The sequence below is a fragment of the Homo sapiens genome, chromosome 4 (assembly GCF_000001405.40).
Source record: "Homo sapiens chromosome 4, GRCh38.p14 Primary Assembly".
In the NCBI taxonomy this organism is placed as follows: domain Eukaryota; kingdom Metazoa; phylum Chordata; class Mammalia; order Primates; family Hominidae; genus Homo; species Homo sapiens.
The window spans coordinates 110,642,385-110,657,026 of NC_000004.12; the positions used below are offsets into that span (position 1 = coordinate 110,642,385).

Here is a 14,642-nt window from a genome sequence, read left to right on the forward strand (position 1 = left end):
CTGGCTGTCATCTACATTGACAGAGTCATTCTAAGCAGAGGCCCAGAGAAACCTGCATTGTGGGACAACAGGTAAAGCCACAGTAAAAAGTGGAATAATTTTAAAGTCATTTTATTAGAATGTAAATTGTATTTCTGGGTTTTGTTCGTAACCACCTAGTTTTAATATATACAGAGTTAGACAGGAAAAAATAGGTCAACACAGTTATTGGTACTAGAGAAGACAAATTCCATGGGCTCCTCAGTGAAAAGAAGATCCCCAAAGTCTATAATTTTTGATCATTTAATTTCATTTATAATTGTGGGAATGAATAAGACACCAACTGCTTTATGTATTTCATTTACATCAACCAATTTGTGTTTCCATCAAAAGCAGTTATACAGAATTTCTTTTAACTTCTGGTAGCAAGTTCAGAAAATGAAGCTTACAGCCACCCTGAACTGGATACATCTCTTGAGCTGACCATTTCTGTAAGTGCAGGAATATAATATTGTTCTTCTATGGTCTTTTTGCACTCTTTTAGGGTTTGCAAGTCCTTATCAGGTCTGACATCACTGTTTGGGTCTACATTCATTACAAGCAAATTTGATTACTATGCTGATTTTAAAACAGCCTATTTGGCCAGCATAATCTTAGTTTTCAAATTATAAAAACCTTTTAATATACGAAGTTCCCAGTTTTTACCTCCTCTAGCTCCTTGCTCATTCAAAACTTCTATTTTAATTGGTGTAAGTAATAATAATTTGTATTACTATTTGTACTCCTTTTACTTTTTTGGAGATTGGGCTGGATTCCAGAGAGAACACCAGCATCACCACCACCACAAACAACAAAATCTAAAAGTAAAGCCCTTATTTGCATGATAATTGGTACTTGGAATGCTTCTGACTTACTCAATGCCACCTTATAAAGGTACCTTGTAAACTTTCTTGGAATTTCTAGCAAGAGCTTGTAGTAACTGGAACAACTCTCTGGGAAGATATCCTCTTTGATGGGCTTTCAGTTTCTGGAGGAATAGATTGAGAGCAATTAGGGAGGGAGGGGACATTGGAAATTGGCAGCTACGTCAGCTGAAACAAGCCTGGGTTCAGTAAGGTGACTGATGTTGTGGTTGATTCCCTACCCCGAGTTTCTCTTTAATTGGGGCACTGACTCTTCCCACTTTGGGATCCCAAGGCACTCGGTGTGTATGCAGATTCCTCCCTTGTGGTCTTCACCATGTGGTTTCGTAGCAGGTCTCTGGTTCAATGATATTTTATAGTCATAGCCCTCATATTCATTATCATGATCTCAATGTTTAGGCTTTTAGTGTATTTATATTAAACCTGCTTTATTAGTAAGCTGGAGCACACAGGAGAGATGGGGGCAAGTAAGGACTCAGCAGAGCTCAAATTCAGACATGTTTAAATGGCTTTGACTGTGTAAAGTGTGGCAATGCTTCCTGCTGCCCTAGCTTTCCACTCTAAGCTTCACATGTCCTCTGGCTAATGAAGTGTGATATAGGCCACATGCTAGGAATAATAGTATTTGTTGAGAACAAAGTGAACTCAGGAAACCTGGTATACACAAAATGCATCTAGTCATTTGAATTAGTAATAATGGTAAAAACTAATATTTACAGAGTGCTTAGTTAATTTAGCTATTGTACTAAACACTTTTGTATTGACAATCACACTTATTCCTTATGCCAACACTACAAGGTAGGTACTGTCATTTTACAAATGAAGACAGTGAGGTTTGCCATGATTGTGTCACTGGCCCAAGGTCACCCAGCTGGTTAGAGCACAAGCTTATAACTGCTGGAGGCCACAGTGGATAGGATATTGCTTCAGGTCACGTAGGCAGTAAGTGGCATAGTGGGAATTTGAATCTAGGTTTGTGTAACTCCAAAGTCCAAAATGTTAACTAGTACACTGAACCAATGGCAACTGGAACCAGAAGACCAGGGGCCTCTGGGGGAAGGAAATATAGAACTTACCTATGGAATATTTCATAAACAAAAGAATAATGCAGAGACAGGAAAGCAAATATATTTCTTGAGGGATGGAGAAAGTCAGAAATGTTTTAAATGCTAAAGAGGAGGAAACGAGAAATGATTGGATGAGAAAGCAGAAAAGCCAAACTCCGGTATTTGTCCTGGGCAGTTTAGGAAGAGAAAGGTAAGCTCAGGGATATTCCTGAGCCACAGGAAAATTAATGCTTAGATGGTCAGTTTGGACTAAGCCTAATATAGGATCTCAGGAATATGGTTTACTAGAACTGTTTCCCAGTAATTCCAAGGGAGAATAAAATCTCTGAATTGGGTTTAAGTAGTTTTATTCCAGAAGCAAAGAGAGATGGAAGTAAGGACCGAGTAATAAGAACATCTATATTGCAAGAACATGCAAGTTGAGTAGGAGTGAAATCTAGAAAAACCTGTTAGGACTCTGGTTGTTGTGTTAAACCATGCTACACTCTAAGTAGAAATCAGATTTTTATTATCATTACTTGCCTAGGTCTAGTTAGCAACTCTATTATTGTAGTAAAGTCATTTGAAATTTTAAGAGAAATGACTTCTTGTGCTGAAGAAGACATCTTGGGTGGAAGGATGTCAGCAGACAAATGGAGTGCAAAGATAGTGATTCCAAGGACATAGCCTGTGGGGAGCAATACTGGATTACATACCCGTTGTTTGTGGTAGAATGTTAGCTAGGGGAGAACACCAGGTAGCTTTCTACAAGTCCATTTTATCACAAAAAGACAGGACTGATTCTAAAGGTTATTCTCAATTCAGGTTTGTCCCATTATTGAAAATGATCCAAAATTGGATTCATTTTGGCCTTTTCCAGGAGGGATAGATAAATATAATTTGTATATATGGCTTTTCAGTTTTAGGAAGCATAGGAGGAGAATGAAAGAATCAATCCAGTCTCCTGTTTTCTGGTAAAAACTCTCATACCTGTGCTGTTGCAAGAATTCAAGACTATCTCGTCCAGAATGCTGTGGTATTTTTGAAAGTAAGGTTTGAGGGCACACAGAGCCTTATTTTCTATCTCTACGCTGTGGATCTCATTGTTTTTTCTAAATGGGAAAGAGAAATTAGAATTCATAGAAAGTAAGGTCTGGAAAGGATCTAGAGGGTACTCCTCTCCCTCAGCCTATGTTTAAATTACTTCCAGAAATATAGCCAGCTACACTTTTCAGTAAAGAGCCTCCTACGGTCCCTTGGTAATGCATTCTCATGCTTCATAATTTCACAGCTACACTGTATATCTATTGACTAAACTCCAAGTACTGAAGAAAATGATGTCACATCAAAAAGCTCTAATTAGTAGGGGGCATGTTTTCCAGAGTTCTCCAAATATTTCACATCTTTACCCTAAAAAAAGATGAAAATATTATTAGCCTAATTTAACAGATGGAAAATTCTGTCATAGAGACTTTTAGAGAGTTACACCTGGTTATGCAGCGTGATGCCTGAAAGAACTAAATTAAAAACAAAGTCAGGAAATTCTATGTTCAGGGCTTTTCTAGCAGACACATCACTTCTTGGGGGCTGGTTATTATCTTTCTGCCTGAGTAAAGTACATGTTTGATTGTAACTCTATCTGTCCTTCTGTTTGTCTGCCTGTGAGTAGTTTATCTTTTAATCCATCAATTTATCTCCTTGCTAGTTTTTTAAAACACCATAAGTTAACCAATGTTGATAAAATTTCACCCTCACCATGAGTGCTACTTGAGCAGATTGAGATGGTTGTCATATTTTTCAAATATCACGTGTAACAAACAGTGCTGCTACTGTCTTAGCGTCATGACTTTGTTCTTATCTGGAAATTGTACAAATACCACACCTTTTGTCATGACAGGACCACTTCCACTTATTAGGACTTTTGATATTTGTGCTGTCACTTGGGAGAATGTTGATCATTTTGTTCATGCCACTCTTGAGGTTATAACAACCGCTTTTTTGTTTAGCTGTGTCTTTTTTTCCACAGGTGAATTTAGTTTTTTTTCTCATGCTTGATTTCAAGAAACTGGTGCTTCACTGAAAGATGTTTAAATTTCCTGAGAGAAAATGTTGGAGCAAGAATAATTTGTCATGTACTGTCCTTATCTGAGTATTAATGTTCTTTCAACTTCATATGTTCCCAAACTTTTTGAGAATTTCTTTTTCTTGAATGTAATTTATGAATCAAAAGTGATCGTAATCCTCAAAATATCATGTTGTCCACAGTAAATATATACAATTTTTATTTGTCAACTAAAAAAAGCAATAGGGTTCTTACTCCTATTTTTGATATTTGCTCTTTTTATCCTCTCCTTAAGTATTTCCTTTCTTCTCTCAGAGATGTATTCACTGAGAGCATTTTGTTATTTTTCTCTCCCCGCAGCCATGCATGATTAAAGCTGTGTTCTTGAAATTCTTTATTCTTTTTGTTACAACTGATAACTCATTCTGCTTTTCATTAATTCATTAATGTCATTCTACTGGTTTCTGATTTACACAAATCAAATAGACTCTAGAAAACTCAATAAAAATAAAAATAATGTTTTCCATCCTGAAATATTTATTTATTGTTTTCCTCTAGGGTACATATATCATATTCCTTTTCCTCATACTCCACCCTTTCTGAATCCACAAGAATGTGTTATTGAATACAGAGAAAACAATTTAAGAAAGGAAAAGGAATGACCTGCCTAAAATGAGGAAAAAGCAGAGTCGAGGTCTAGGATTGTGGCTCAACAAGATGATTCAGTTACTTTCTGGTAGCTTTATTTTTTGGTAATTTCTTAAGCTGAGTTCTGGATGATGTAAATAATATTTTTAGATCTTTAATGGGCATATGCTGAATTAAAAAGAAAAATTCATGGCATCTTTTAACTATGTGCAAATGAGCAAAGAAAAAGGAAAGAAAAGGAGTGGTTAAACTGACATGGTAGGGTTCAGGATTGGGGGAAGAAGAAAGAGTAATAGAGAGAGTGGAATAGTTAAAAAAAGAATGAGATCATGCCTTTTGCAGAAATATGGATGGAGCTGGAGGCCATTATCCTTAGCAAACTAAATCAGGACCAGAAAACCAAATAACGCATGTTCTCACTTATAAGTGGGAGCTAAATGAGGAGAACTCATAGATACAAAGAGAGGAACAACAGACACTGGGGCCTATTGGAAGGTGGCGGATGGGAGAGGGGAGAGGATCAGAAAAAATAACTATTGGGTACGAGGCTTAGTACCTGGGTGACAAAATAATCTGTACAACAAATCCCTGTGACAGGTTTACCTACATAACAAACCTGCACATGTGCTCTGAACCTGAGATACAACTTAAAGAAAAAGAGAGCGCACTTGTTTGCAAATTGGCTTTAGCAGACTGTTTTTTGAGTCCTTTTTGTTTCCCAAATTGAATTTAAGTGGTATTACATTTTTAAATGAAAACTTTACTTCTAATTATAGGTGAAGTTAATTTCTCACCTTCCCAACAATTTTTTTATCATCTTTTGTATTGTAAGCAAGGCAAAGATTTAGTTTAAATGTTGCTAGCTTAGTTTATTTTTTAAAAAATATATCTTCTGAGAGGTTTGAGAAAACTAAGAAAGTATATTTTGTTTAGCCTTTCCAAATACTATTTCCCTGGAAATAGTATTTTGTTTAGCCTTTCCAAATACTATTTCCTAATCAGTGAGTTAGTCCAGACCTCAGAGGGCTCCTGGAATTAGAAAGAAGGCAAGGATGAACATCAGGTTCAAGATTATTCTTATGTTGCTTTACTACCAAACCAGAAAATCTGGATGTCCTGCAGGCAGGCATGTTTATGAGAGTTACTCAAAAAAGATATGCCCCCTGAAGTGCCAAGTTTAGTGATCACGCAGTCCATGTGGAATGAGGAGTCTGCCAGGACAGAGGAGCTTGAGTTGGGAGGCTGGGGTAGAAGCATGATAACCCTCCAGGTTCCCCTCTGTTACCATGTACCAGACTACTTGCTGCCCCATGGGAACCAACATCTGTGTTCTATTTATTACTAGCTCATTGGCCTATGCCTGTCTGGCTATGGCCTATGGATAGTGAAAGATAAAGAGTAGAGTTGAGTGGGGAGTAAATAAAAATCAACATTTTTATGTGAAATAAAAAATTAATTCTAAAATAGAATGAAATACTGATCTGGATCATATTCACTGATTTTAATTGATTTATCATTTCTGATTTCCTACCTTAGGTTATAAGCAGATACCTGAAAATTGTGAAATTGATATAAACCCAGATCTTCAAAGCAACTGATGACCAAGGGGACTGTGATATAATAGCCACATATTCTTTACCAGTGTTAGGTTTTAGTTAATAAACATTACTATGGAGCTGAAAAATACCTCACTGTTTTTGAAGTCATTGACTGTGGTTTTCGCTGTTATTTTGAACAATGGATTTTTTTTCTGAGGTTGTTATTCTTACCAGGATTTTTCCTTTATATTTGAGTTCACAGCTATAAAAAAATACAAATAAGCTGTCATGAAACATTTAAGAAAGCTAAATCTGATCTCTCTATCCTACTTAGAAGTAAAATGATTAAACTATATGTGGCGTTTTGTTTTATTAAAGTTTTCATTTTAAAAGACAGTTTAAAATAGTAACATAATTGGGAATATATTCTCTGTGCCTAACCCTGTATTCTCTATGTAGAGAAATGAAAAAATGCTTAAAAAATTCAAAATAGGAGGTTCATTTGAAGCATTGCGATTTTAAATAAACCACCCTGTATAAATGTGTGCATAAATATTTATGCACATATATACATACATTATATATCAACATTTCCTCTAAGTTCTATCTGCTTATAATTTTGATAACAAAAACAAATAAAGAATAGGATAAATAATAATCAAGATGGGAAACCCTCTGACTCATTTAGACAACTCATATGAATTCTTTAAATGTCCCCAATTTATTTATCAAAGATGTTGTCTCATTCCCTAGTGAGTTCATGTAGCCCTTATTTAAGATTTAGCCCAAAATTTAACTGCACACTTCACTCAGTATAGGATAATGCTTAAAATGTGAAAACAATATTTTATATTTTTAGAAAGCGTTCTCTGAAAAGTGTTGGTGAATTATAAAAAACCAAGCAATCCAGTTCAGACATTCCCTGCCTCTCCTATCCCTAATCTCTTCATTCATAGAGGTGATTTTCCTATAATAGTAATAGCTAGTTAGAATATATTTAATAAAGGATTGACTCTTAATTTAAATAAGAGTAAAGTCCCTATGGTAAGATTCTTAGTAAGGGTTATGAGGGAGCTTTTTATTTTTCCTCCCCAAGAACATCTTGGCGTAGTTATACATAATTAAAAAAGTGTATGGCTTTATCGGAAGCTGACTCTTCTCTGGAATAATGTTGAGAGTTAATGAAAACCTCCTTGTCTCAGGCCAATTAAAAAAAATAAGTGACATGGTCTTCCAAGTATAAAATGATAGGCTGGAATATTTTTAGATGACATATAATGTGTCAATTCTAACCACTGGATTGTTTTGGCCTGAGGAAGTTAAAAAATCCCCCAACTCTTTTCATTCATTCTTATATTCTGTGTCAAAAGGGCTGGCTAATTATTCTGTATTAAAAATACAGCAAATTTATGCCAGGTGCAGTGGCTCATACCTGTAATCCCAGCACTTTGGGAGGCAGAGGCAGGCAGACCAGCTTGAGGCCGGCAGTTCGAGATCAGCTTGGCCAATATGGCAAAACCCTGTCTCTACTAAAAATACAAAAAAATTAGCCGGGCCTAGTGGCACATGCCTGTAGTTCCAGCTATTCAGGGAGGCTGAGACACAAGAATCGCCATTGCACCCCAGCCTGGGCGACAGAGTGAGACCCTGTCTCAAAAAACAAAACAACAACAACAACAACAAACCAAAAAACAAATTTAAAATTTGTGAAAAATGTTATTTCTCCTTATGAACATAAAGCTCCCTATGAACCTTAACTGTTCTAGGTTATAGACAGTATTCTTTGCTACTTGCTTTCGTAGTTTATTTATATTAAAAGAAACTAAAACTATTAACAGTTGTACTCTCATAATGAAGACAGCACCCTTGAGTGATAGGCCTACAGCTTGTTAAGTCGTTTATCTTGTAAAAACCAAAACCAAAACCAAAACACCATGCAGAGTAATAAAATGGAGCATTAGTGAAGGTCAAAATTAAATAATATTTTAAAAGACAATTTTATGTTCTCCCAAGTACTGTATACACATAGCAACTTGGGTCAGGCTCCTAAGTGTTGTCAACTTTTTTTTTTTTTTTGAGACGGAGTCTCTCTCTGTAGCCCAGGCTGGAGTGCAGTGGCGCCATCTTGGCTCACTGCAAGCTCCGCCTCCCGGGTTCACGCCATTCTCCTGCCTCAGCCTCCCAAGTAGCTGGGACTACAGGCGCCCGCCACCACGGCTGGAAAATTTTCTATATTTTTAGCAGAGACGGGGTTTCACCGTGTTAGCCAGGATGGTCTCAATCTCCTGACCTCGTGATCCGCCCGCCTCAGCCTCCCAAAGTGTTAGGATTACAGGCGTGAGCCACCGCGCCCAGCCAGTGTTGTCTACTTTAACTACCTGTGCTGCTCCAGTTAATAGGAAAGTGACAAATATGTAGATAAGCAGCTAGAGAGAAATAAATACATCTGACTGAGAACTCTGGGAGCTCACTTGAATTAGTTGAAATTTCTAGTCAGTTGCCTATGTTTTTAATTTTTTTAAAATAGTATCAGTGCAACCAAAATAAAAGTATCTAAGTTATCCACATACTTTCATATGCAGTTAGTGAAACTTTTAAATACTTTACTCAAATTCTTTAATATTACCAATATTCCTTTTTTCTTTACATTTGCTTTATTTTATGTGAGCAAAGATATTTATGCCATTGGACGTAAAACAAGGAAATTCGTTTCTCTATTAAAATAGTACTACAAACTTATGCTTACATCAAAATAAACTGCTATCAAGACACAGGAACTAGGAATACAGAGATGGAAGGATACTTGCCCCTCTTGAATTTTAGCAGCAGGAGCAGGACTGGTCCTGCAGTGCTCCTGACAGTAACGTAGGCTGTCATAAGCAATAGTATGTGGGAAAGCGTGGGACGTGATACATGGGACCTCAAGAACTCATCAAATCAGTTTCATCTTCTGACCTCAGGCACGACGGTCTCGGTGCCACAATGCCAAGCTGAGGTGCATGTTCTCCCTCGATTCTGTAGATACCACCATCCCAAGATGGTGATTTCTGCGTTCCCAAAGCCGAGTGGGTCCACAGCCCGCAAGGCCTGGCTCAACAACTCCACTTGCAAAAATTATGACTGGACCTGGTTAAAGATCATGTTCACCCACCGTGCCTCCACCAAAGAGTCACACCGGAAACCAGGGCTGGATGTGAACTGGTGGTGGTGGGAATGATAACCTAAACTCCTTCTCTAGGGACCAGGCCAGCAGCATTGGTTTTTCCCGCTGGGCTTCAGCAGCACCAGCGTCTTCTGTCTACCATGCTGGGTCTAGCAGCTCTCGTGGGACCTCCACCAGCCAATAATCTTGAGAATTAAGGAATGAATGTAATTATTTTTCTTATAAATATGGAGAACACAAAACTAGCAAAATTTCTACATGATTATCTGACTACTTACGTATACGCAAGCTTTAGGTATTCTTGTGTGTGCACAGAACATATATGTAGCTTTATAGGCCATGGGCTAAGTATTAATTATCTTTGTGTTCCTATCACAGTCCCTTGATATTAATAATTGCTATTTGTTTTTTGGGGTTTTTTTTTGTTTGTTTGTTTTAAGAAGGAGTTTCGCTCTTGTCGCCTAGGTTGGAATGCAATGGCACAATCTAGGCTCACTGCAAACTCTGCTTCCCGTGTTCAAGCTATTCTCCTGCCCCAGCCTCCCAAGTAGCTGGGATTCCAAGTGTGCACCACCACGCCTGGCAAATTTTTGTATTTTTAGTAGAGACGGAGTTTCACCACATTGGCCAGGCTGATCTCGAACTCTTGACCTCAGGTGATTGGCCCACCTCAGCTTCCCAAAGTGCTGGGATTACAGGCATGAGCCACCGCGCCTGGCCGCTATTTGTTGAATGGAAAAATAAATGGATCAAATTGACCAATTGACCTTGTGATGAAAATAATCAGAACCTAAAATTGGCCTATCTGGCAGTTGTGATATAATAACAATTGGACTGACCTGTGGGCAGCTTGGTTCAGTTCTTTCTTTCTTTTTTTTAAATGCTTCCCTGAAGTCAAATTGCCCATCATTGATCCCTTACATGGGCTCACAAATATGTCTTATCTATTGGTTTATCACACAAGCAGGCTCTTCACCAGGCAATAGTGAACGTGGCACTCTTTTATGTTCTTTTCTTGAAAATTATTTTGCAGTTAAGTATTTTATTTATTCAGACTAATGCTTCTCCCATTCCCAAGACTGAAGCAATAAAGTTTTATTTATATGTATATGTTTTGGATGATAATCATAGTGCACTCATAATGATTATATTATACTGATATGCATATATGAGTATGCAAATTGCATAGCAACTTACTATTATTGTTCCCATTTTGTAGATGAGAAAACTATGGCTTAAAGAGGGACAGTAACTTTCCCAAGATATCACAAAAGCAGAGAGTGAGCAAATCGTCACCATCTGGAATGCAGATCTAGGCCTGTCAGACTTTAGAGCCCAAACCTTCACACTCACTTTTAACTGCCTCTGTTAATGAAGAGTGTAATTCTAGCACATGCTCTTGCTGGAAATTTCATAATTATAGTTAGGAAGCATAGAGTGTGTTTTCTTGTATAACAGCTACAGGAAAGGGCTAGGCAAGAAAAAAAATCACCAAATACTAATAAAACACGGTTTTATTTCAGAAAACATTTATTATGCATCTTGATATCTTGGAGCAATAGAAGTGGTCACAATATGTAAACTTGAGTGAATGTGACAATGGATCGGCTTCTTCATTTTAAGACTATGCATCTTCCCATCATTACTTTAAATCACCTCTAGCAGCAAATTTGAGTGAGATCCTAGATTTTGGTCTGGCTTAGGTAAGAAACCAGAGTCTATCTCCTCTTGGATTCAGTCCTTGGCTGTATTTCTAAAATGTTTGAACCAGATTCCCTGTCTGAGTCAGCTGATGGGGCCTAGTTTCATTTCAAGAGACTTCAGAATCAGCATCTCTAATCTCACCTCCTAATCTCCCTTCATCTCTTTGGCCATATTCAAACATACTTTGACCTACATTCTACAATTAGAGACAAAATAATTGGAAGGGGGCTTAGTCAATGAACAAGTATAAATGACAAGTTCTTTGCCTGGAAGAGTTGCCATCAAGAGTGAAAAGAAAAGTACAGGAAAGCAGGTGAAAAGTGAACTTCAAACACTTTACAACTTTGTTTAAGGTCAGATGTGCTTACTTTCACCTGGGCAGGGCAAAGAGAAGGAAACAACCTATGCCAGGCAGCTGCTACTAAATGCTTTCCATACCTTTTCAAGTTGGTTCCTCACCATTTCTCCCTGGAATTTACATTGTTACAGTTTTCCCCTTTCCACGTGAGCACACAGGTTCTGGAAAGTTAAGGGACTTGTTCAAGATCTCATAGAGTTAGAACTGATTTCAGGTGGAATTAAATCCAGAAGCCATACTTTTCACCACAACGTCCCCCTAGCACAGTACAAAATCGGGTGTGTGTCAAGCAGTTATGAACCGCCACCAGGCAGCTCTGCTTTAGATTAGTTATGCTGGGTTTTTTTCTTCTTTCCCTCCTCCTTTTTTTTCTTTTTTGCTAGAATAGACTTTGCAAAAATCAGTTTAATTTTTTGAGGGGTTCGTTGATTTTAGCATCACTGAAAGATTCTGGAGATCATTGCTTTAGTTAATGCAATGGCTTATTTATTGATGTAATGAGGACTTCTTTTATGGGGAAAAAGAAGGCATTCAACAGTGTTTGCCAAATGAAAGACTAGCTGTGATAACATTACTTTTGTCTGTTTTCTGTGTGCATGCTGGGCTTTAAAATATGCTTGGAATTTTCTGTAGAATCATAAGATGCTGAAGTTGGAAGGGTACTCAGAGAGCATCTGAGCAATCCCTCATTTACAGATAAGAGAACTGAAGCCCTGAAAGGATAAATGAATCATCCATGGTCACATGCTTGGTTGGCAACATGGTTGGGACTGGGACCCAGTGCTTTTTTCTGACCTTCTCCTCAGGGTATCTCTACAATGTCTCATGTTAGTATTTTGCTTGATGAGGGAGGGACGTGGGATTCTAATATACTGTGCTAATGCAGTATAGTTTTCCATTTTTCTCACTTTTTTTTTGGTGGGGTATAGTGGGTTGAATGTTGGTACCAAAAAAAAAATATGTCCACATCCTACTCTCTGGAACCTGTGAATATTAATTTATTTGGAAAAAGGATCTTTGTAGACATAATTAAATTCATAGTTTGAAATGAGAAGACAATTTTTTCCATGGACAGATTGGGGAGGGGGATGGTTTCTGGATGAAACTGTTCTACTTCAGATCATCAGGCATTAGATTCTCATAAGGAGTGCGCAACCTAGACCCCTCGCATGCACAGTTCACAGTAGGGTTCCTGCTCTGATGAGAATGTAATGCCGCCGATGCCGCCGCCACTGATCTGACAGGAGGCAGAGGTCAGGTGATAATGCTCACTGGCCCGTTGCTCACCTCCTGCTGTGTGATCTGGTTCCTAACAGGCCACAGACTGGTACAGGTCCATGGCCGGGGGTTTGAGGATCCCTGAGAGATCCAGATTGCATCCAGAGAGAGTGCAGCCCTGCCAACACTTTCATTTCTGACATCTGTCCTCTAAAATTGTGAGAGAATCAAATTCTATTGTTTTAAGCCACCCATTCTGTAGTAATTTGTTACAACAGACACAGGAAAGTAATGCATGGGGGAACAGAGAGCTAGGACTGATGTTGTTTTAACCACTTCTGACTTCACAGAGTCTAAGGAGGAGTAAGTGTCTGCTGGGGTGGGGGTGGACAGTTGAAGAGCTTCAGGAACAGATGAACGTTTTTATTGCGATGGAGACTGAGAATAGTGACCTTTCTGCAAATAACAGAAAAAGTCCCCCAAAGAAAGACCTGGGGACATCTCATCAAATAAAGTGAAGGAGGGAAGGACAGACCATTCCCTGTTTGATGCTCACACTCCTTCAGTCCTTGGCGCCCTCTCACTACTGCTTCCTGGATGTCTGTGAGCCCTTCTCGCCAAGCCACACGCCCTGAGAACTCTCCTCCTTCTCTTCTAACCTTCTGTAGCCTCTGTCTCATTTCCCCAAGGCTCTATTCCTAGTGCAAACCCTCACCTCCAAATTAATATGTTGCAAGGAGATAAAGGCTGATTGTAATTCACTGTTACCGTGTGTTACTTCCATTTATCTTCTACAGCCCACTTTGTGTGAATTAACTAAAGGAGGAGAGAAGTCAGTGGGGATCTTGTGCAGGTTCCACACCAGCCTAAGGGAGAGACATTTTGGAGAGAGAGGAATATTCCTCCTGTCCTTCCTGCCATACCCCATAAAGATCAGCCCAGATTATGAAAAGCACTGGTTGTAGGTATTTTCTTATAGCCCTAGATGTATTGGGAGCAGAAACCTGAATGTAGAAGAAAAGAAATTCTTCCATTTAGGCTGGAGTTCCTCAGAAAGTTCTACGAGTGATATGATATTGCTTGCTCCTCAGTGAGCTTTTTACTTAGTTATGATTTTCTTTTCTTTCAATGACTTACCCTTTATGTGCCTCAAGTTTCCTCATCTGTAAAATGAAATAGTGCTAATGAGAACACATGAACATAGGGAGGGAACAACACACACTAAGGCATGTCGAGGTTTGGGGTCGAGGAGGGAGAGCGTTAGGAAAAATAGCTAATGCATGCTGGTCTTAATACCTAGGTGATGGGTTGATAGGTGCAGCAGACCACTATGGCACATGTTTATGTAACAAACCTGCACATCCTTTACATGTACCCTGGAACTTAAAATAAAAATTAAAAATTTTAAAAATGAAATAGTACTCACCACATACGCTGGTTGTATTATATGAGTTAATCCAGATAATGCTTTATAGCAGTGCCTGGCACATAGTGAGAACTCAATAAATGTTAGCTATTATTCTTTATCAAGGAGAAACACCTGATTCCCTATTTCTGTGAGAAGGGATGATCCCTATGTACACTCAGTTTTTTGACTCATTCCTTACTCTTCCTCCTGGTGACCTGCTTGGCTAGTGACAGCCATTATTCCAATTTCTTTGCTTGTAGAGGTCTATTCATTAAAATTACTGAGTGTGGGGAGATTTGGTATCTCCTTTTTTTTTTCTTTCACTCTCCACTCAGAGCAGCAGGAGACAGTGACTTGAGTAAGTGTGTCTGCTTTGTGGTCTCAAAGTTTCCCTCAGGTGGGCTGTTCTGAGTCTAGTAGACTGAGACTGAGAATGAGCAAGCACATGTTTCTTACAGTAAGCAAAGTTCTTCTATCTAGTCTGGATTAGTAACATAATATTTTTGTTTATTCACTGACTCTTTTGTCTTACTTCTTATTGGCTTAGTGCTCACATTGGGGTCCCTCAAAAACACCAACATAATTATTATTGTCA

At 38.3% G+C, this 14,642-nt stretch overlaps 1 long non-coding RNA gene across 1 annotated transcript; it reads left to right on the top strand.

Moving 5' to 3' along the window:
* The first annotated feature begins 4,688 nt into the window (after positions 1-4,688).
* On the top strand, positions 4,689-6,342 carry LOC124900857 (uncharacterized). The gene is made up of 2 exons (XR_007058474.1): positions 4,689-4,746; positions 6,195-6,342. It is a non-coding gene; the product is annotated as an uncharacterized LOC124900857 (long non-coding RNA).
* Positions 6,343-14,642: the final 8,300 nt, after the last annotated feature.